At 43.0% G+C, this 24,364-nt stretch overlaps 1 annotated feature.

The window, feature by feature from the left end:
* Positions 483 to 542: an enhancer, noted in NCBI's record as "active region_10035". NCBI's record gives its function as "activates an Ori minimal core promoter by ATAC-STARR-seq in GM12878 lymphoblastoid cells {active_cell/tissue: GM12878}" and the evidence as "EXISTENCE:reporter gene assay evidence [ECO:0000049][PMID:35858748]".

Genomic DNA, 24,364 nt, shown 5'->3' with positions numbered 1-24,364 from the left:
ATGGCTGGGTCTATGGCTCAGTCCATGCCTAGGTCTATGGATGGGTCCACAGCTGAGTCCGTGGCTGGGTCTATGGCTGGGAGTGTGGCTGGGTCTATGAGTGAGTCTATAGCTGGGCCTATAGCTGGGTCCATGGCTGGATCTATGAGTGAGTGTATGGCTGGGTCTATAACTGGGTATATGGCTGGGTCCATGGGTGAGTCTATGGCTGAGTCTGTGGCTAGGTCCATGGCTGGGTCCACAGAAAGACCTGCCTTCGACTCTAGTCAACTGGCCCCAGAGCCCTGGCCTGGGACTCCTGAGGATGAAATATGTATAGTGTAGTGAGTAGAGCCCAGGTGATCTTGTTTGTAGCTCCAGTTCTGCCGCAGGCTAACCTTGTGGTCTCAGATCAGTCTTGTTCCTGTTCTGAGTCTCGGTTTCACATTTATACAATGAGCCAATGAGGACAAGATCATAGTTTTTACTGTGTTTCATGGAGGCCTAGGGTTCTGATGAAGTTCTTCCAAGACCTGGCAGGGATGGTGGAGGTTGCAAGTTGGAGGTTGGCTTCACCCATCATCTCCTCTAACCAGAACAGCTTGGCATCAATCAAGCTCCCTCACAAGACTTCGTTTAAAAATAAGATTGGAAATTAAAAATAAGATTGGAAAGACTGGAAACCAACCATGTGTTCATCTCTAAAATCTGGCTAGTAAATTATCATACAGCCACAAAATAGAATACAATACAGTTGGGAAAATGAAGGTGCTCTCAAAATGATTTAAAAAAAATGTCTCCAGGATATAGCAAATTTAAAAAGCAAGATATGGAAGGATGTCTAGTGTGCTAAATTTTTTTTTGTTTTTGTTTTTGTTTTTGTTTGTCTGTTTGTTGTTTGTTTTTGAGACAGAGTTTCACTCTTGTTGCCCAGGCTGGAGTGCAATGGCATGATTTCGGCTCACCACAACCTCCGCCTCCCAGGTTCAAGCGATTCTCCTGCTCAGCCTCCTGAGTAGCTGGGATTACAGGAATGCACCACCATGCCCAGCTAGTTTTGTATTTTTAGTAGAGACAGGGTTTCTCCATGTTGGTCAGGCTGATCTCGAGCTCCCAACCTCAGGTGATCCGCCCACCTCGGCCTCTCAAAGTGCTTGGATTACAGGCATGAGCCATTGCACCAGGCCTAGTATGCTAATTTTTATATAATTAAAGGGGAGAATTAAAAATAAATATCTATATGTTTGATTTGCATACAGAAGCCCTGGAAGGATGCATACGAAGCTAATGTGTACCGTCCTGTGGTATCAGGTGGGGTGGGGGTGGCCAGGGGGAGAGTAGATGAAGCTGCAGGTGGAAATGACATTTCTCAATGTATACCTTCTCATAGCACTTTGATATTTGAATCACGCACATATATTACCTTTTCAAAAAACTAAAACTTAAATTTAAAAAATATACCAAGTGAAAAAAAGGGACAGGGGAAAATAAGCTGGCCAGATGATCTCTAAGTTCCCTTGTTGCTTTGATGATCAGGCTGGTGGGGGAGGTAAGGAATGCCCACACATGCCTGTCACCAAAGGCAGATGGGGAAGGGAGAGGCCTTGGGTCCAGGAACTGGGGAGGAGAAGCTGTGCCCCCAGGTCCATGTGCGGGTTCTCTGGGGCTTCTGCCAGTCCTGCTGCATAAACAGCCCATGCAGATGGCCCCTGGTGCCCAAGCCTCAGGCCCTGTGCTCCCTCCCCTGACTGGCCTGGGCTCCCTCTCTCCCAGGAGTGGAGGCCAACGGCTACCCCTCATCAGCCTGCCAGCTGGGAGTGGCCCCACCACTGGCCAGTGGGACAGAGCCTCCTCCACGCAGGGCTGTCTCCAGCTGACGCCAGCCCCAGACTGTGGCCTGAGCCGCGTCCAGGACAGAGCCCAGGGCACAGATGTTCCCATTCTCTGGCTCTGGATGAGCTTCTTGGAAAAATCATGGAGCCAGCCTTCCTCAATCCACCTTTGAGTGGAGAGAAGAGGGGCCCTTCTCTCCTGCAGCCACTGGCACCTGGCTGCCCGCCCTCGGGGGCCGGCCACAGGCTGCTGATCCATGCGGCCCTTGTCTGTGTGGCTGGCTCCTGTCCGAAGGTCACTGAAGGGAGGCAGGCCGGCTGGAGAGAGAGAGGGCGGCAGAGGCTTCCATCAGCCCTGTCTAAAGTTCTTCATGCTCTCTCTGGCTTTTTCTGGGTGGCTCACCAACAGGAAGTGGTCTGGCTAAGACGAAGGGCAGCTGCTGCAGGACCCCTGAGTGGGACATTGCAGCCAGACCAGGACTGACATGAGTCCAGGAGGAGGGAGAAGGGGCTCTGTGTTTATTGCGATACTGTGATGTTGCCAAGCTTTGCAGTGAGACAGACTTGCATTCAAATCCAGGTTCTGCCACGGAGTAACTGCGACTTTAAGCAAGTTATGTAGTGTACTCTCTGAGCCTCAGTTTCATCATCTATAAAATGGGGGAAGGTAAAATGAAATAGGGGTAATAAATCACCTAATCAGAGAGTTGCTGCTGAAAAAATATTGCCTATTCTTCCCCTCTGGGGTATAAGATACAAGGTCAATGCCAGACAGGGTTTAAGACCCTGAAGCCAACTGCCAGGATCCTAGCTCTGCCTAGGGCACCTAATTCACAAGACTGCTGGGAGGAACGAAGGAATTGAGAGTGGTGCTTGGCATGCAGTGAGTGTTATATATTACTTCTTTTTATCATTGTTATGTCAACAACTGCCCACTTTAACCCATATCCTTGTAGGTCCTTGTGTGAGCTGGAATCCCAGGGCCTTTTCTGTCGCCACGCTGGTCTGCTGAGGGTTCGTTCACCAGTTGGCCTTTTCTGAGTCGGCTTCTGAACAGGGATTGGGAAGGGGGTGGGGAAAGCTCAGTTCAACCCCATCCCCCTCAGGGTGGGGACCACAATTCCCCTCACCCGCACTTCAACCAGCATCTGTTTTTCATAAACCCCTTCAGTCTTATGCCTGGGAAGGAGAGTGAATTTCCTTAGGCAACAAAGCCCTCCAAAACCACCCATCATGGGATGGGCGGATCCTGCTGGGCCTCCTTCCCACTCTGCATCTGGACCTGCAAACCCTAGGGCCATCGCCACCTCTCGCACCTCTGCCAAGAGACGTTGCTTCCCTTGTCCAGGCCACAGCCTGCCTGCCCCTCCGTCTCCTGGCTGGCCACTGCTGCCAGCTGCATGCCATCTCCTAGGCTGCCTGATGACTGTGGCCCTCAAGTCCATGCTGAGCTCAGAGCCAGTGGCCCCCCAACCCAGAACTGCTGCCACCCAGTGGCACTCTCAGTGCCAGCCTGGGACCGCTCTTCAAGAGAACCCCTTAAAAGAAAGAGCATGTGAGCCTTCCTAGTGCCTCAGGCAGAAGGACGGACTTCCAGGGTATTCCGCTCCTGGCCCCTGACAGAGGCTGGCAGGGCCCCATCTTCCCATTATCCTGCCCCTTCCCATGAGCTTTCTCTTCGTTCCTTCCATAAACTCAGTTCAAGATTTGTTTTCGGTGTCAATGAAAACTTGCTCAAATATAGGTACATAAAAAAATAGTCTTCCATTTCTTCAAACAAATGAGGCAAGGCAACCGCCAGCTCACTGAGTCGCCAAAATTTTGGTAGGAAGCCATTACTTTTGTATTAAAACAAGACCTCATATGTTATGAGTATATTGTTATGGTCCTATTAGGGAATAGAATGCAATCGTCTGCACGCATTTCCAAGCAAAACATAAGACTCCAAAGATAAATGATAGAATAGAAATCCACCACAGTAGGAGTTATGTCTGTTTTGCTGACTGATGTATTCCCAGTGCTGAGAAGAGGACTTGCCACATGGCAGGAGCTTCATAAATGTTTGTCAAATAAATGTAACACAAGCTTGCAACTTAAGGCTGCAGGCTGGACATCCAGATGAGGATACATTCTATTTCTCTGCCTTTAGGAGAAATGTCTGAGAATCACTTGGCCATACATCATCTCATTTAATCCTCCTACCAAACCAACAGTGCTGTGTGAGGGACATCTTCATGGAGGGTTACTATTGAGCACCTGAACTCACCCCCACCCCTCGATATTGAGAACGTCCCCATCTTGTGAGTCTTGGTGAGAGACTGGGCCTCACTTTCAGTACAGAAGCTTAAAAGACCAGATAATTTTTTTTAAGACAGAGTCTCGCTCTTGCTCTGTCACCCAGGCTGGAGTGCAGTGGTGTGATCTCAGCTCACTGCAACCTCTGCCTCCCTGATTCAAGCGATTCTCCTGCCTCAGCCTCCCAAGTAGCTGGGACTACAGGTGCCTGCCACCACACCTGGCTAATTTTTGTATTTTTAGTAGAGACAGGGTTTCACTATGTTGGTGGGGCTGGTCTTGAACTCCTGACCTTAGGTAATCCACCCAGCTTGGCCTCCCAAAGTGCTGGGATTACACCATGCCCGACCTGCAAGACCAGATAAATATTTGGCCTGCTCCCTGCAAGGAGGGCCTAAACACACACCAAGGAGCAAGTGACACACAGATACAAGCTTGGGTCAGAGTTCATTCTGCTGGGACCCACAGTGATATCCAATGTGCACTGCCAGTGGTGTGGTGCCTGAACGGGGCTGCTCAGTGCTTCTCCTTCCTGCCTGTATTCTGAGCCTGGCCCCAGCCTGACAGACAATTCTCCAAGCCAACCAGCATTCTTCCAGTAGAGTTGCTTTCTGCTTAGGTTGGTAGAGATGTTTTCTATAGGTCATAAGGAAGAACCTTGACGTCTAAAAGTAGATGCTATTATTCTATTTTCTAGATGAAGAAACTGAGGCTTAGGGTGGCACTTATTGAGCACCTACTGTTTGCCAGGCTGTGGAGGGTTAGATACGTGAAGAGGCAGTTTCAGTACAACATGATAGAGGGGTGTACAAGAGGCCATGGAAGCTGGAGTGCCTGCGGGTGGCAGGGGAGGCTTCATGGAGAAAGTGGCACAAGTTGAGACTTTAAGGAGGAGGAGACCATGTGCGGTGGCCCACGCCTATAATCCTAGCATTTTGGGAGGCCGAGGCAGGTGGATCACTTGAGGTCAGGAGTTCAAGACCAGCCTGGCCAACATGGCAAACCCTGTCTCTACTAAAAATATAAAAAGTAGCCAGACCTGGTGGCACATGCCTGTAATCCCAGCTACTCGGGAGGCTGAGGCAGGAGAATCGCTTGAACCCAGGAGGCGGAGGTTGCAGTGAGCCAAGATTGTGCCACTGCACTCCAGCCAGCCTGGGCGACACAGTGAGACCTTATCAAAAAAAAGGAAGGAGGAGGAAGGAGGAAAGGAGAGAATTTTCTTTTCTTTTCTTTTCTTTTTTTTTGAGACGGAGTCTTGCTCTGTCTCAGTGGCGTGATCTCGGCTTGGCGTGATCTCGGCTCACTGCAACCTCTGCCTCCCAGGTTCAATCGATTCTCCTGCCTCAGCCTCCCGAGAAGCTGGGGTTACAGGCGGCCACCACCACACCCGGCTAATTTTTATATTTTTAGTAGAGACGGGGTTTCACCATTTTGGCCAGGCTGGTCTCGAACCCCTGACCTCATGATGCGCCCAGCTCGGCCTCCCAAAGTGCTGGGATTATAGGCGTAAGCCACCACGCCCAGCCGAGAATCTTCTTAACATGCTATGTTAGGGGTATAGCATGTTATTTTAGAGGCTGGAGTGAATGGTGCAGGGGGACCATGACCACAGATGATGCTGGAGGAGAGGGTGGAGGCCAGTTACTGAGGGGCTTTGCCTACCTTATGAATGGATGTACATTTTGCAACCAAGCTTCCTAGTTGTAAGCAACAAAAATAGATTTTGGCTAATATCATCAGAAAAGGCTTCTATCTGAAGAGTATCTGGGAACTCACAGAACTGGAAAACAAAACAAAACAAAACAAAAAGGCTAATAAATTGGGCTTAGAAAAGAACAGGAACCAGGAAAGCAACAACCATTTAGGGAATGAGGACTGCTGGTTTGTCGATGTGCTGCTGCTGCAATAAGAGCAAAATTTTTGCATCCTTGACTCAACCTTCACAAGACTCAAAGTCTTTGGAGACAGAGACCAGTTGGTTTAGTGTAAGAAGGCCAGAGTTCTTGATTTATGATTCCATCATGTCTGCACACTATAGAGAAGAAGCAGATCTCAAAGATATATTGAAGTGTTATTTCCAAAGAAAGAGAAATTAATACTGTGCAACAAATAGCCAACAGACTTTATCATGAAAGATATGCTTAACAAAGGAATGACAATTTTTTGACTTCTAAGAAAGCAGTTTAAAATAAACAATGAGGGAAGGCAAGATTGTGGGTAGAGGGCCAGTGGAAGAAAACTTCAATAATCCAGGAGAGCAATGATGAGGTCATGAGCTAAGGCAGTGAAGATGAGAGCAGAGTGAATGCAGGAGATACCTGGGAAATGGAAGCTTTAGGATTAGGAGGATAATTAGATGTGGGAGGTGAAAGAGACAAGAGCCAAAGAAAGCTCTTGTTTCTGGCTTGAATGACTTGGGTGGATGAGAAAGTCCTGAAGTCAAGATAGAAATACATGAGAAAGGTAAAATGGGAACGGTGAGGCTGTGTAAGAGTATGGGACATGTTGAGTTTGAAATGCCTGCAGATTGTCCAGTTGAAAAGATTAGAACTTAAGAAAGACACTGGTGGATCATCAGCTAAAGGAGTGATTGTAGTTATAGACTTAAGTAAAATTTCCCAGTGAGACAAGGCAGAGTGAGAAACAGAGATGACTGAGAAGGAAGTGCTAAGAAGAAAATGCTGACATTTAAGTGGCAGGCAGAAGAGGGATCTACAAAGGGGTAGAGAGTGAGCTGGAAAGAAGGAGAGGCTGGTTATACAAAAAAATAATAATAATAAAAGAGAGTTCCAGGAGATTGTGGTTGACATTAATATATGCTGCGGAGAAATCACACAGGATAAGCACTGGAAAGTGTCCATTGGATTTGAGTATTGGAAGGTCATTGAGAATGCAGGTTAGAGCAGTTTCAGTGAAGTCTTGAGGACAGACACCAGGAAATTCAGAAGGAGAAGAAAAGACAATACAGTAAATACAGGCTGCCCTGGGGTAAAGCTTGACTGTGAGGGGAAGGGGAGATATGGCAGTAGCTGGAGAGGAGCTGGAGTGATGGGAACATATGAAAGTGAAGAGTGTGCTGAGGGTGGAACTTACTGTTTCTTGACCTCAATCCAATGGAACATCCAAATATTGACTCAGGGTCTTAAAGGGGAAAAATATTTTTAAATCCCTAAAACATGATAAAACGTGAGTCATGATGACAGTGAATGAAATCAGTTGTGTCTGGCCGGGCGCGGTGGCTTACACCTGTTAATCCTAGCATTTTGGGAGGCCAAGGTGGGGGATCACCTGAGGTCAGGAGTTCAAGACCAGCCCGACCAACATGGTGAAACCCCATCTCTACTAAAAATACAGAAATTAGCCGGGCGTGGTGGCACAAGCCTGTAATTCCAGCTACTTGGGAGGCTGAGGCAGGAGAATTGCTTGAACCTGGGAGGCAGAGGTTGCAGTGAGCCAAGATTGTGCCACCACACTGCAGCCTGGGCGAGAGAGCAATACTGTCTCAAAAAAAAAAAAAAAAAAAAAAAGGAATATGTCTATTTGTTATTAAACAATAAACAGTGCAAATTTGGGGGTGAAAATAGGAAATAAAAGCAAAGACAATAAAGGTTATTATTGTGGAGGAATCTGCCAATACCAACTCAGAGTTATCTTTCTGGTTTGCTTAGTCTGTTCACTTCTGAGAGGAGTATATTACTATCTTCAACTATTATTGTTGCTTTATTTAGTTCTGTTCATGATTCTTCCAGCTGTTGTTTCATCAAGACTGTCCAGTGTAGTAGGTAGTAGACACATGTGGCTATTTACATTTTAATTGGCAGGGCACAGTGGCTCATGCCTGTATTCCCAGCACTTTGGGAGTCCAACATAGGAGAATCACTTGATCCCAGGAGTTTGAGACCAGCCTGGGTAACATAGTGAGACCTGCAAACAATTTAAAAAAAATTAGTCGGGTATGATGATGCACGCCTATAGTCCCAACTACTTGAGAGGCTGAGGCAGGAGAATTGCTTGAGTCCAGGAGGTGGAGGCTACAATGAGCCATGATCCTGCCACTGGGCAATAGAGGAAGACCCTGTCTCAAAAAATAAATAAATAAGTCTGAATTAATTAAAGTTAAATCTTCAATTCCTGAGTCACAGTAGCCACATTTCAAGTGTTCAGCAGCCACATGTTGTTAGTGGTTACTGTATTGAACAATGCAGATATAGAACATTTCTGTCACTGCAGAAAGTTCTTTTGGACTGCCTGGCATTATATAATCCTGGGCTATATTGCTAGATGCATATATGTTTATGTTTATGTCTTCTTGGTCTGTGTTCCTTTTATTAATCCATAAAATGCCTCTTTGTCCCTTATGATGTTTGTTACTTGAAATTCTATTTCTAAGAATTTAAATTTGCAACCCAAGCTTTAATTGGTTTATATTTATTCAACACATTTTTCTCCATATCTCTTTTTACCTGCCACACCTAAAATCTACAAATTTGTTAATAAAATGTTTCTGTTTTCTTGCTGATCAAAGTGATAAAGCAATCACAGAAAATAAAAAGACATTTGATACAAAATTGATACAAAATCACAGAAAATAGACATTTGAGCTTGTTGAAAAAAAAATCACATTAAAAAAATTCATGTTGGTTGATTCAGATCTATCTCATTGATATTCAGCAACCATTTTTCTGCTTTTATTGACTTCTTACTGAATTTCTCCTGGGAAGCAATAAAAAATAATTTGTTTCCTTAAATCCAATCACTTTCTGTGGCAAGCTGAAAAATGGTCCACCAAAAGATATCCACATCAAATCCCTGGAATCTATGAATGTTGCCTTACTTGGAAGAAAGAACTTTGTCAATGTTATTAAATTAAGCACCTTGAAATGAGGAGCTAATCCTGGATTATCTGGGTGGGTCCTGAATGCTATTGCAAGTCTCCCCATGAAAGAGAGGCAGAAGGAGATTATACGTCACCACATGCAGAAAGGGCTATGTGAAGATGGAGGCAGGCGTTGGAATGATGCTGCTGTAAGCCAAAGAACACCATGGAATGCCAGCAGCCACCAGAAGCTAGAAGAGACAAGGAATGGATTCACCGCAGAGCCTGCAGAGGGGGGCTGGCCTCGCCAACACCTTGATTTTAGATCTGGCCTCCAGAACTGTGAGAGAATATATTTCTGTTGTTTTAAGCCCTCAAGGTTGTGATATTTGTTACAACAGCCCTAGGGAAAAATACACTCCTATAACTTCCCTATCTTCAGCCAGAACTCCAACTCTATTTTCCGCCAACAAGAAGTTGAGAAATTTCTCAACTTGTAATTTCTCAACTTTTTCCAACTACAATTCAAAATATCTCTCTAGCCACCTTTTCTAACCCCTCTCCCATTGGTATGGTCAGAACTATTCTTCCTTCCTTTTCCCCAGGCTAACGTCTGCATTCAAGCTCTGTCCCATCTTTTATATTCCATGACCCTGGGCCTTCAGTCACCCTCTCTGAATAGCACTGCTTTGTTGTTGCTGTTTAAAAATAATTATATATTGGATACGTGAGATGCATATAAATAACATACCAAACACCTGTATACCTATCACCTAAGAAATAAACCATTATTAATATAGTTGAAGCCCTCAATACCATTCACCCATCTCCCCCACTGCATTTTATTTGATTTGATTTTTCTATAAAAATAATACCTAAATAATTCTTCTAAAAATTAAATATCACAAAGATTATAATAAAAAACAGTGGCCTCCTGGCCAAATGCTCCACATCACACATAACTGCTACCCAAAGGTAAGCATTTTCCAACCATTTAGCTTTTTCTTCCTGTAGTTAGTTCTAATTTCTAAACAGTACCCGTATGTTGATATTTCTTTGCCATCCTATTTGGAATATTACGTACTGACTTCTTCCTATGAAATATGAAGATATGGCCGGGCGAGGTGGCTCACACCTGTAATCCTAGCACTTTGGGAGACCAAGGTGGGTGGATCATCTGAGGTCAGGAGTTCAAGACCAGCCCGGCCAACATGGTGAAACCCTGTCTCTATTAAAAATACAAAAATTAGCTGGTCATGGTGGTGTGCGCCTGTAGTCCCAGCTACTCAGGAGGCTGAGGCAGGAGAATCACTTGAACCTAGGGGGCGGAGGTTGCAGTGAGCCAAGATCACACCACTTCACTCCAGCCTGGGCCAAAAAGCAAAACTCAGTCTCAAAAAAAACAAACACCTGACGTCAGGAGTTTGAGACCAGCCTGGCTAACATGGTGAAATCCCATCTGTACTAAAAATATATAAATTAGCCAGGTGTGGTGGCGGGTGCCTGTAATCTCAGCTACTTAGGAGGCTGAGGCAGGAGAATCGCTTGAACTGGGGAGGCGGAGGTTGCAATGAGCCAAGATAGCGCCATTGTACTCCAGCCTGGGCAACAAGAGCGAAACTCCACCTCAAAAAAAAAAAAAAAAAAAAGAACAAGAAGAAGATATAACACACATCTCTCCTGACCCTTCCAAAATAGTTACCTCATGATTTGGGGGAATTAAATCAATATTCAATGCTTCTATTGTTATTATTATGTAAATTATGACAAAAGGGCAACATACCTACTACTTTTGTACATTTTCTCATTCTTGGCACTAGTAATTGTCTCTCTTTTTAACTTAGTTTTCTATGTGCCTAGTATTAACTCATCTCAAACTAATAGAACCTCCTTTTGGTATGATTCCCTTTTGTTATTGACAGATATTCAGGACCCCCCTCTGCACTCTAGGTTGGCTCCTCTCTGGGCTCAATACACCGCTGTCATCTGGAGACATCCTATCCTCATCTTCCCGGGAATATCTTACACCTTTCTCTTCTACTGGAGTTCCTCTTTTTCAGTTTCCTCCTCCATTTGGGTGGAGCATATCTTCCAATAGCTTCTTTAAAAAGAGATGTGGAAGATAAGTACTTGAAGGTGTAGATTTCTTAAAGCATCACTTTATTTTGTTTTCATATTTGATCTGTACTTTGCTTGGGTATAGAATTTTAGGTTACAAGTTATGTTCCTCACTTGATGCTTTTTGATGATGTAAAAATAATTTTGTTTAAAAAAAGAAATCACTTTCCCTCAGAAGTTTGAGGCATTACATCACTGTCTTCGGTCTTCTAAAGAAGTCTGGTGCCTTTCTGACTCCTGGACCTTAGTGCATGCCCCATTACTCTTCTCTGGAGGCTTCTAGGGTCTTCCTTTTATCCTCAGTGACTTAATTTCCATAGTGATGTCCCTTGGTGTGGGTCTTCCTTTAGTCATCTTGTTGAGCCTCTAGGGAGCCCTTTGTCTTAGATGATCCATACACTTCTGTTCTGATAAATTTTCCTCCTCCCTGTTTTCTCTCTTCTCTTTCTAGAATTCCTATTCATCAGATATTAAATTTCTAAGTGAAGCCTCTAGTTTTCTTATCTGTTCTGTCCCATTTTCTTTTTTGTTTTTAATTTCTGTGGGTACATAGTAGGCATATATTTTTATGGGGTACATGGGATATTTTGATACAGGCACACAATGCATGTCAGGGTAATGGGGTATCTGCCACCTCAAGCATTTATCCTTTGTGTTGCAAACAATCCAGTTATACTCTTTTACTTATTTTAAAATGTACAATAAATTATTGTTGACTGTAGCCACTCTGTTGTACTATCAAATACTATTCATCCTATCTAACTATATTTTTATACCCGTCAACCATCTTTCCTTCCTCCCCACTCCCCACAACACTTCCCAGCCTCTGGTAACCAACCTTCTACTCTCTATCTCTCATGAGTTTGGTTGTTTTAATTTTTAACTCCCACAAATAAGTGAGGACATGAAAATAAGTGGAATTTGTCTTTCCGTACCTCACTTATTTCACTTAACATAATGGCCTCCAGTTCCATCCATGTTGTTGCAAATGAGAGGATCTCATTCTTTTGATGACTGAATAGTACTCTATTGTGTATATGTACCACATTTTCTTTTTCCATTTGTCTGTTGATGGACATTTAGGTTGCTTCCAAATCTTGGCTGTTGTGAATAGTGCTGCAATAAACATGGAAGCGTGACTATCTCTTCAATATATTGCTTTCCTTTCTTTTGGGTATATACCTAGCAGTGAGATTGCTGGATCATCTCATAGTTCTATTTTTAGTTTTTTAAAAGAATCTCCAAATGGTTCTACATAGTGGTTGTACTAATTTACATTCCAACAACAGTGTACAAAGGTTCCCCTTTCTCCACATCCTTGCCAGCATTTGTTATTACCTGTCTTTTAAATAAAAGCCATTTTAACTGTGGTGAGATGATATCTCATTGTAGTTTTGATTTGCATTTCTCTGATGGTCAATGATAATGAGCACCTTTTCGTATACCTGTTTGCCATTTGGATGTCTTCTTTTGAGAGATGCCTATTCAGCTCTTTTGCCCATTTTAAAATCATATTATTAGATTTTTTTTCCTATAGAGTTGTTTGATTCCTTATATATTCTGGTTAATAATCCCTTGTCAGATGGATAGTTTGCAAGTATTTTTTCTCATTCTGTGGGTTGCCTCTTCACTTTTTTGATTGCTTCCTTTGTTGTGCAGATGCTTTTTAACTTGATATGATCCCATTTCTCCATTTTTGCTTTGGTTGCCTGTGTGTGTTGGTATTACTCAGGAAATCTTTGCCTAATACAGTGTTCTAGAGAGTTTCCCCAATGTTTTCTTTTAGTAGTTTCATAGTGTGAGGTCTTAGATTTAAATCTTTAATCCATTTTGAATTCATTTTTATACATGGCAAGAGATAGTCTAGTTTAATTTTTCTGCATATTGATATCCAGTTTTGCTAGCACCATTAATTGAAGAGACTCTCCTTTCTCCAATGGATGTTCTTAGAATGTTTGTTGAAAATGAGCTTATTGTAACAAAAAATAAATAAAATAAAAAACAAAGAAAATGAGTTTATTGTAGATGTATGGATTGGTTTCTGGGTTCTCTATTCTGTTCCATTGGTCTACACGTCTGTCTTTATGCCAGTACCATGATGTTTTGGTTACTGTAGCTTTGTAGTATAATTTGAAATCAGGTAATGTGATTCCATTAGTTTTGATCTTTTTCTCAGGATAACTTTGGCTATTCTGGGTCTTTAGTTGTTCCATATAAATTTTAGGATTATTTTTTCTATTTCTATACAGACTCTCATTGGTATTTTGTTAAGGATTGTTTTGAATCTGTAGATTCATTGGGTAGTATGGACATTTTAACAATATTGATTCTTCCAATTCATGAACATGGAATATCTTTCCATATTTTGGTGTCCTCTTCAATTTCGTTCATTGTTTCATAATTTTCACTGTAAAGATATTTTACTTCTTCTGTTAATTCCTAGATATTTTATTTGTAGCTATTGTAAATGGGATTACTTTCTTGGTTTCTTTTTTAGAGTGTTCACTCTTGGCATATAGAAACGCCATTGATTTTTGTATGTTGATTTTGTATCCTGCAACTTTGCTGAACTTATCAGTTCTAATAATTTTTTGGCAGAGTTTTTAGGTTTTTCCAAATATAAGATCATATCATCTACAAACAAGGATAATTTGAGTTCTTCCTTTTCAATTTGGATGCACTTTATTTCTTTCTCTTGTCTGATTGCTCTAGCTAGGACTTCCAGTACTGTATTGAATAACAGTGGTGAAAGTGGGCATCCTTGTTGTTCTAGACGTTAGATGAAAGGCTTCCAGTTTTCCTCCATTTAGTGTAATATTAGCTATGGGTCTGTCAAATATGGCTTTTATTGTATTGAGATATGTTCCTGGTATATCCCGTTTTTTGGCGGTTTTTATCATGAAGGGATGTTGAATTTTATCAAATGCTTTCTCAGCATCAATTGAAATTATCATTTTTTTGTCCTTATTCTGTTGATAAGATGTATCACATTGATTGATTTGCATATGTTGAATTATCCTTGCATCCCTGGGATAAATCCCACTTGGTCATGATGAATGATCTTTTTAATGCTGAATTCAGTTTGCTAGTAATTTGTAGAAGATTTTTGCATAAATGTTCATCAGGGATATTTGCTTGTAGTTTTCTTTCTTTTCTTTTTTTTATTGTGTCTTTGTATTAGAGTAACACTGACCTTGTAAAATGAGTTTGGAAGTATTCCCTCCTCCTCTATTTTTTGGAATACTTTGAGTAAGCTTCGTATTTGTTCTTCTTCAAATGTTTGGTAAAGGCCGGGCGCGGTGGCTCACGCCTGTAATCCCAGCACTTTGGGAGGCCGAGGCGGGCGGATCACGAGGTCAGGAGATCGAGACCATCCCGGCTAAAACGGTGAAACCCCGCCTCTACTAAAAATACAAAAAATTAGCCGGGCGTAGTGGCGGGCGCCTGTAGTCCCAGCTACTTGGGAGGCTGAGGCAGGAGAATGGCGTGAACCCGGGAGGCGGAGCTTGCAGTGAGCCGAGATCCCGCCACTGCACTCCAGCCTGGGCGACAGACCGAGACTCCGTCTCAAAAAAAAAAAAAAAAAAAAAAAAATGTTTGGTAAAATTCAGCACTGAAGCCATTTGGTCCCAGGCTTTTCTTTGCTGGAAGTCTTGTTATTACAGCTTCAATCTCCTTACTTGTTGTTGGTCTATTCCGGTTTTGGATTTCTTCATGGTTCAATCTTGGTAGGTTGTGTGTGTCTAGGAATGTATTAATTTCTTCTAGGTTTTCCAATTTATTGGCATATTGCTTATAGTAGCCTCTGATCATCCTTTGAATTTTTGTGGTACCAGTTGTAATAGCTCCTTTTTCATCTCTGATTTTATTTATTTTGGTCTTGTCTTCTTTTCTTAGTCTGGCTAAAGGTTTGTTGATTTTATCTTTTCAAAAAACTAACTTTTCTTTTCATTGATCTTTTGTATTTTTTCTTCACTTCCATTTCATATATTTCTCATCTGATCTTTATTATTTCCTTTCTTCTACTAATTTTGGATTTTGTTTGCTCTTGCTTTCCTAGTTCTTTAAGATGCATCACCTGGGTGCTGTGGCTCACACCTGAAGTCCCAGATACTTGGGAGGCTGAGGTGGGAGGATCACTTGAGCCGGAGAGGCGGAGGTTGCAGTGAGCTAAGATCATGCCGCTGTACTCCAGCCTGGGAGACAGAGTGAGAGTCAGTCTCACTCACTCTCTCTCTCTCTCTCTCTCTCTCACACACACACACACATACACACACACACACACACAGAGATGCATCATTAGGTTGTTTACTTAAAATTTTTCTACCTTTCTACTTTTTTTTTTGAGACAGAGTCTCATTCTGTCACCCAGGCTGGAGTGCAGTGGTGCCATTTCGGCTTACTGCAACCTCTGCCTCCCAGGTTCAAGTGATTCTTGTGCTTCAGCCACCTGAGTAGCTGAGACTACAGGCATGCACCACCACACCTGGCTAATTCTGGGCATTTTTAGTAGAGATGGGATTCATCATGTTGGCCAGGCTGGTCTTGAACTCCTGGCTCAAGTGATCTGCCCACCTTGGCCTCCCAAAGTGCTGGGATTATAGGTGTGAGCCACCATACCTGGCCTGGAATTGTTCTACTTTTTTGATGTAGGTGCTTACAGCTATAATTAAATATTCCTCTTAGTATTTCTTTCACTACAGCCAATAGGTTTTGGTATGTTGTGTTTCCATTATCATTTGTTTCAAGATTTTTTTTTCTGAGACAAGGCAGCATGAGCAAAAAATAACATAAAATAAAGGAATTTAAAAATTTCCCTCCTAATTTCTCATTGACCCACTGGTCATTCAGGAGCATATTGTTTAATTTCCATGTGTTTGTATAGTTTCCAAAATACCTCTTGTTATTGATTTCTAGTTTTATTCCATTGTGATCACAGAAGATACATGATATCATCTCAATTTTTTTTGAATTTTTTAAGACTTGTTTTGTCTTAACATATGGTCTGTCCTTGAGAATGTTCCATGTGCTGAGAAGAATGTGTATTCTGCAGCCATTGGATAAAATGTTCTGTAAATATCTTTTAGGTCCATTTGGTCTGTAGTGCAGATTAAGTCCAGTGTTTCTTTGTTGATTTTCTGTCTGGATGATCTGTCCAATGCTGAAAGCAAAGTGTTGAAGTCTCCAGTTATTATTGTATTGGGGTGTATGTCTCTCTTTAGCTCTAATAATGTTCGCTTTATATATCTGGGTGTTCCAATGTTGGGTGCATATATATTTACAATTGTTATATCCTCTTAGTGAATTAACTCTTTTATCATTGTATAATGACTTTTGGTTTTTGTCTTGGAATTTATTTTGTCTGATGTAAGTATAGCTACTCCTGCCCTTTTTTGGTTTCCATTTGCATGGAATATATTTTTCCATCTCTTTATTTCTAGTCTATGTGTGTCTTTATAGGTGAAGTGTGTTTCTTATAGGCAACAGATCACTGGGTTTTTTGTTTTTTTTTTTAATCTATTCAGCCACTCTCTGTCTCTTGATTGCAGAGTTTAGTCCATTTACATTCAATGTTGTTTCTTGCCATTGTTGTTGTTGTTGTTATTGAGACAGGGTCTTGCTCTGTCAGCTAGGCTGGGATGCAGTGGCATGGTCATGGTTCACTGAAGTCTTGACCTCCTGGGCTTAAGCGCTCCTCCTACCTCAGCCTCCTGAGTAGCTGGGACCACAGGTGTGTACCACCATGCCTAGCTAATTAAAAGAATGTTTTGGCTGGGTGCGGTGGCTCATCCCTGTAATGGCAACACTTTGGGAGGCCGAGGCAGGTGGATCACCTGAGATCAGGAGATCAAGACCAGCCTGGCCAACATGGTGAAACCCCATCTCTACTAAAAAAATAAAAATTAGCTGGGCATGCTGGCAAGCACCTGTAATCCCAGCTACTCAGGAGGCTGAGGCATGAGAATCACTTAAACCTGGGAGGTGGAGGCTGCAGTGAGCCAAGATTGTGTCACTGCACTCCAGCCTGGGAGACAAGAGTGAAACTCCACCTCAAAAAAAAAAAAAAATTATAGAACAGCAACTTAAGACAGGTGAGAAATAAAAATAAAAAAATACATATAAATAAATAAATTTTTTTTAATAGACACTAGGACTTACTATGTTGTCTGGGTTGGTCTCAAACTCCTGGGCTCAAGCAATCCTCTCACCTTGGCCTCCCAATGTGCTGGAATTACAGGCGTGAGTCACTGTGCCCAGCCCAATGTTATTATCAATAAGTAAGTACTTACTCTTCCCATTTTGTTATTTATTTTCTGGTTGTTTTGTGGTCTTCTTTATTTTCTTCCTTGCTTTCTTCCTTTTAGTGAAGGTGATTTTCTCTGGTGATATGTTTTAATTTCTTGCTTTTTATTTTCTGTGTGTCTGTTGTAGGTTGTAGGGTTTTTTTTTTTTTTTTTTTTTTTTTTTTTTTTTTTGAGACGGAGTCTTGCTCTGTCGCCCAGGCTGGAGTGCAGTGGCGTGATCTCGGCTCACTGCAAGCTCCACCTCCCGGGTTCATGCCATTCTCCTGCCTCAGCCTCCCGAGTAGCTGGGCCTACAGGCGCCTGCCACCACGCCCGGCTAATTTTTTGGTATTTTTAGTAGAGATGGGGTTTCACCGTGTTAGCCAAGGTGGTCTTGGTCTCCTGACCTCGTGATCCGCCCACCTCGGCCTCCCAAAGTGCTGGGATTACAGGCGTGAGCCACCGTGCCCAGCCCCTGTTGTAGGTTTTTTGTTTGTTTGTTTTGTTTTTCTGTTTTGAGACAGGTTCTCACTGTCACCCAGACTGGAGTGCAGTGGAACAATCATAACTCACTGAAGCCTCTACTTCCTGGGCTCAGGCAATCCTCCCACCTCAGCCTTTCAAGTGGCAGGGACTACAGGCATGCACCATCATACCTGGCTAATTTTTTTCTGTTTTTTTTGTAGAGGCGGGGTCTCACTATGTTGACTAGGCTGATCTTGAGCTCCTGGGTTCAAGCAACCCTCCCATCCTGGCCTTCCAAAGTGTTGGGATTACAGGCATGAGCCACCATGCCAGGCCCGTTGTAGGTTTTTTGATTTGAGATTACCATGAGGCTTGCAAATAATATCTTACAACTCATTATTTTAAACTGATGACAACTTAACACTGATTGTATAAACAAACTAACAAACAAAGAGAAAACTAATAAAATGCTACACTTCAACTTTCTTTGTTTCTGCTTCATTTTTGAAGGGTATTTTCAATGCATATACTTTTCTAGGATAAAAGTTTTTTTCCTTCATCACTGTAAATATGTCATGCCACTCTCTCCTGGCCTATAAAGTTTTCACTGAAAAGTCTGCTGCCACATGTGTTGGAGCTCCGTTGTATGTTATTTGTTTCTTTTCTCTTGCTTTTGGGATCCTTTCTTGATCCTTGACCTTTGAGAGTTTGATTATTAAATGTCTCAAGGTAGTCTTATTTGGGTTAAGTCTGTTTGGTATGCTAGAACTTTCTTATACTTGAATATTGATATCTCTTCCCCTAGATTTGGGAAGTTGTCAGTTATCATTCCTTTGAATAAACTTTGAATAAACTTTCTATCCCTATCTCTCTTTACATCCTCTTTAAAGGCCAATAACTCTTAGATTTGTCTTTTTGAGGCTATTTTCTAGATCCTGTAGACATGTTTCATTGTTTTTTATTCTTTATTCTTTTGTCTCCTCTGACTGTGTATTTTCAAGTAGCCTGTCTTCAAGCTCACTAATTCTTTCTTCTGCTTGATCAGTTCTGATGGTGAGAGACGCTGGTGCATTCTTCAGTAGCCAATTGCATTTTCCTACTCCGGAATGTCTGCTGGAGTCCTTTTAATTACTTTAGTATCTTTGTTAAATTTATCTGATAGGATTCTGAATTCCTTCTCTGTGTTTTCTTGAATTTCACTGAGTTTCCTCAAAGCAGCTATTTTGAATTATCTGTCTGAAAGGTCACATATCTCTGTCTCTCCAGATTGGTCACTGGTGACTTATTTAGTTCGTTTGGTGAGGTCATGTTTTCCGGGATGGTCTTGATGCTTGTAGATGCTCACTGGCATACGGGCATTGAAGAGTTAAGTATTTATTGTAGTTTTTGCAGTCTGAGCTTGTTTTTACCCATCTTTCTTGGGAAGGCTTCCCAGGCATTTGAAGGAACTTGAGTGTTGTGATCTAAGTTTTTGGTCACTGCATCCATATACGCATTAGGGGGCACCCCAAACCCAGTAATGCTGTGGCTCATACAGACTCACAGAGGTACTGCCTTGGCAGTCTTGAATAAGATCTGGAAGAGTTCTCTGGATTACCAGGCAGAGGCTCTTGTTCTCTTCTCTTACTTTCTCCCAAACAAATAGAGCCTCTTTGTCTGTGCCACGCTGCCTGGAGCTGGGGGAGGTGTGACACAGCACCTGTGTAGCTACTACCACTGAGACTGCACTGGGACAGATCCGAAGCCAGCACAGCACTGGGTCTCGCCTAAGCCTGTGGTAATCACTGCCTATGTTCGTCCAAGGCCCTAGTGCTCTACAATCAGCAGGTGGTAAAGCCAGCCAGGCTTGCGTCCTTTCCTTCAGGATGGTGAGCTCCTCTTGGCCCTGGGCAGGTCTAGAGATGCTCTCTGGGAGCCAGGGCCTGGAGTTGGAAACCTTAGGAATCTACCTGATGCTCTATTCCACTGCAGCTGAGCTAGCATCCAAGCCACAAGACAAAGTCCTTCCCACCCTTCCCTTCCCATTCCACAAGTAGAGGAGTCTCCCCCCATGGCTGCCATCATCCCAGGCCTGTGGTGAGTACAACTTGGCTACCACTGATATTCACTTAAGGCCTGAGAGCTCTTCAGTCAGCTTGTGGTGAATGATACCAAGCCTGAGATTTTCCCATCAGGGCAGTGGGCTATCCTCTGGCCCAGGGCAGGTCCAGAAATGTCAAGACCCATAGCAAGTATTGCCTGGGTATCATTGTGGATTATTCAGGGCCCAAGGGCTCTTTAGTAAGCAGGTGATGGATCCTGACAGGACTGGGTCCTTCCCTTCAAAACGGCAGTTTCCCTTCTGGCCCAAGGTGTATCTAGAAATGTTGTCTGGGAGCTAGGGCCTAGAATGGAGGCCTCAGGACTCTGCCTGGTGCCCTATCCTACTTTGGCCAAGCTAGTACCCAAGTTGCAAGACAAAGTCCTCTTTACTCTTCCCCCTCTTCTCCTTAAGTGGAGGAAAAGAATCTCTTCCAGAGCTGCTTGCTGCACTGCCTGGGGCTGGGGCGGGTGGGGGAGTGGTGCAAGCACTTTCTTGGCTTCCCTGGCTGGTGTCTCACTAGGTCATTTGCCCGGCAAATCCACTGGCTCCAAGCCCAGCACAGCACCAAGACTTGCCCAGGAACTGCAGTTCTTGTGGTCTAGGTTGTCTCTCAAGTTTACTTAGAACCCTAGAGCACTTTAGCCCACGATGGCGGGACTTGCTGGAACTCAAGTTCCAACTGCTGGGATGGGTGATTCCCCTCTGGCTAGGGCTGGTCTACATGCTCCCTCCATGGGTGCCAGCTGAGTTCTGCCTGGTGTTGCTTTCCACTGTGACCAGGCAGCATTGAGTTCTAACACAAAGTCCCACAGTCACTGTTTCTCTCCCACCCACAAGTGCAGATTATCTGTCTGCACCACAGGCTGCTGACGGGGAAACGAGGAGGGGATGGCACCAGCAACTCAGGACTATCTTTCCTACCCTCTTCAGTGCCTATTTCAGTGATATGAAGTTAAAACCAGGTACTGTGATCGCTCACCTGATTTTTGGTTTTTATGAAGGTGCTTTTTTGTTCACTTTGGTGTTCCTTTGGGAGGATGATCAGTGAAGGCTTCTACTCAGCCATCTTGCTCCGCCTCCATCTGTCTTCTTTTCTCTTTAACTTTTTGGTCTATTTTCTGGAAGTTTTACACAACTTGATATTTTAATATTTTATTGCATTTAAAATCTATGCTGTACTATTTTTACTTGTGAAGAACATTTTTTGTTCTTTAAATATTCCTTTTTAAGTAGTGATATTTACTTTTTGGATGTAATATATTTGATTTGTTTTCTGATAATATTAATTATGCTCTTTTTCCCCCTTTCTTTCTTTAAAGTGTCCTCCCTGCTTTGTATTTATTCCTTCTCAGTTTTCACCTACTCTTTGTTGGGGTAACTTTCAGGTAGAAACTTTCCTCAAAAGCCTGGTGATCCTTTGCTGGCTATTCATATTGAAGAGTGAGGCACTAAAAGCCTGATTAGGGGATCTGTCTTTGTGTGGAAAGGGCTCATTGACTGTGGGCCTCACTGTAGGGTGATGGAGCAGAAGTCCAGCTGGTTCACTGGGAACCCCAGATAGCAATATCTATAGGTTTTTGCCATTGGCTTGGTCAGTTTCCTCAGAGAGAAATTCTTTTGTCTCACGCCAGGAGGTTAGAGATTAACAGAAGCATTTTGGAGGCACAGTGTGGGAAGCTGTACAGATGTGAGAGGTCTCACTATTCAGAATGCCGTACCTGCCACCACAATCTCCTCTTCCCACCTGCAACTTCTGGGAACTATGAAACAGTTCTCCATGTTTATAATTTTGTCACTTACAGAAATTTTTTTAAGTGGAATCATGCAGTATACACCTTTTGGGATTGACTTTTACACTCAACATAATTCTCTGGAGATTGATCTAAGTTGTTAAGTGTATAAATAGTTTCCCTTTATTATAGTAGCATTACATGGTATGGACACATCACAGTTTATTTAACCACTCACCCATTGAAGGACGTCTGGGTTGTCTCCAGTTTTTTACTATTATGGGTAAAGCAGCTATAAACATCCATGTACAGATTTTTGTGTGAACATATGTTTTTGTTTCTCTTGGATAAATGCCCAGGAATGCAATTGCTGGGTTGTATGGTAGTTGCATGTTTAGTTTTTTATGAAACTCCCATTTTCCAGTATGACTGTTTCTGCGTTTTAAATAAAAACTTAGTTAAACATGGAAGTGTATGTTCAAAGTTCTTTTCCTTCTACTCTTTGAAGATGTTATTCCATTTCCCTGCATTGAATGTTGCTGTTGAGAAGTTAGATATCAATCTCACTCTTACTTCTTTGTAGGTGATCTTTTCCTCTCTGGAAGCTTATAGAACTTTACTTAAAATTTTTTTTCCAGGCTCTACATTAAGGACAAAAGAATTTCATTTTTGACTTTCAGACTTTTAAGATTCCACTGAAATGTATCTAGATGTGAATTTATACTTACAGACTTAGTTGGGAATGCAGTGGATTCTTTCCATATTAACATGCATTCTTTTGTATTATGGGAAATTCTTGGTTATTATTTTTTCAAATATTTTCTCTACTCTGTTTAGTCTTTTGGGGTTTCTAGTATATAGATCTATTGTTGCATTAAAAACTACCCTAAAACTTAATGGCTTAAAACAGTATTAAGCCTTTATTATCTTGTGCAATTTCTTGAGGTCAGGAATCTGGGGTGACTTAGCTGGGTGATTCTGGCTCAGAGTCTCTCAAAGTTGGAGTCAAGATGTTGGTCAAGGCTGCAATCATCTGAAGACTTGGCTGGTGTTAGAGAATCTGATTCCAGGATGGCTCACTCACATGACTGGCAAGTTGATGTTGGCAGTGGCCCTCAGTTCCTGCAAATGTGGACCTCTTTGTAGGATTGATTGGGTATCCCCCCAACATGGCAGTTGGCATACCCCTGAGCAAGGGATTTCAGAGAGAGTAAGAAGAAAGCCACATTGACATTTATGGTCTGGACTTGGAAACTACAATCTGTTAGTTCCTTAATATTCTACCAGTTACACAGGTCTGACCTAGTCAATGTTGTGAGGAGGTGGGTTGACTTCTACACAAGGAAGTGAATATCAGGAGATAGAGATCACTGAGGGCTGTCTTTGAAGCTGGCTACTATAGATCAGAACATTTCTTCTTTTCTATCTCCTGACTTGTCTTTCATTCTCATTTCTTTATCCCTTCCTGATGTCTTTTGGATGAGGTTCTCAACCAAGTCATTTAGCTCAGTAATTTCTCATTTAGCTGTATTCTCTCTGCTATTTAGCCTATGCCACTGGAGTGCAGTAATGCAATCATAGCTCACTGCAGCACTGAACTCCGGGCTCAAGTGATCCTCCATTCTCAGCCTCCCAAGTATCTAGAACCACAGGCATGCACCACCATGTCTGGCTCATTTTTGTATTTTTTTTGTAGAGACAGGGTCTATGTTGCCCAGGTTGGTCTCAAACTCCTGGCCTTAAGTGATCCTCCCACCTTGGTCTCGCAAAGCTCTGGGATTACAGGTATGAGCCACTGCACCTGGCCATCCCAAGTTATTTCAAAAACTAGTTTTTTTTTTTAAACATAAGTGTTGTATTATTTGTGCCTTATGCCCTGCAGGTGTATGCACATGAACATGTTTAAGGGGGTGGAGCGGGGGCAGGTAGCAGCTTGGGGGCAATAGCCAGCTCTTCCTCTACCTTCATTCCCAGGGCCGAGTACAGCCCCCAGCACACAGGAGATGCTGAGTAAACATGCATTGGGAGGAGAACAACATTAATAACAACACAGTGGTTATTGTCTTTTAAGTACTTGTTGTGTGTCCCTATAAACCTACAAGCACCCTCTGAGGTGGGCACTGACATTTCCATTCTGGAGGGACCTCAAGGCTGGAGAGGGGCTCTGGCAGAACTAAGTTCAGGTCTTTCTGCTCTGTTCTAGCCCTAAAATTGGGAGAATGGAATAGGAGAATGAGGAGGGCAGGACATCCATCCCTGAAAGAGGGGACCCGGTCAGTGCCCTAAAACCAAGGGTTCCAAGCAGTGTTCCCTGGGCCTCCCCATGTGCCTGGGAACAGAGGCCTGCAGCTTCTGCCACAAGACAAACATTGCTGGAAATCTGGGTGCTGGGGCTAGGCCAGCGTTTGCCTTTTCCTCCACGTCTCGGCAAAGCTACTCGAAAGTCTCTCATCCCCCAGCAGGAAAAGCATATGTTCTTTCCATATAGAGGAGAAATTGTTCCACCAGTGAGTAAGCCTCTTGGCTGCAGAGCCTGGCCCAGCCCGCAGAACACTGGACAGGAAGCTGGGCTGTGCTGGTTACCACTCCTGGAACTGGGACAGGGCTGGCTGACACCCTTGGAGACAACAATGGGCCTTCGGATGGGGCTGGGGGACAGTGGGGAAGCAGGGGCTGGGATGTGCCTGGAGACATTCAGTGGTTCAGGGTAGGAGGAACGTGAGTACACCCCTGAATAGAAGCCGCACTTTTCTCTATTC

The sequence above is a fragment of the Homo sapiens genome, chromosome 15 (assembly GCF_000001405.40).
Source record: "Homo sapiens chromosome 15, GRCh38.p14 Primary Assembly".
NCBI classification, from domain to species: Eukaryota; Metazoa; Chordata; class Mammalia; order Primates; family Hominidae; genus Homo; species Homo sapiens.
Note: the sequence above shows the minus strand (reverse complement) of the source record. Positions and strands in the feature narration are given on the sequence as shown.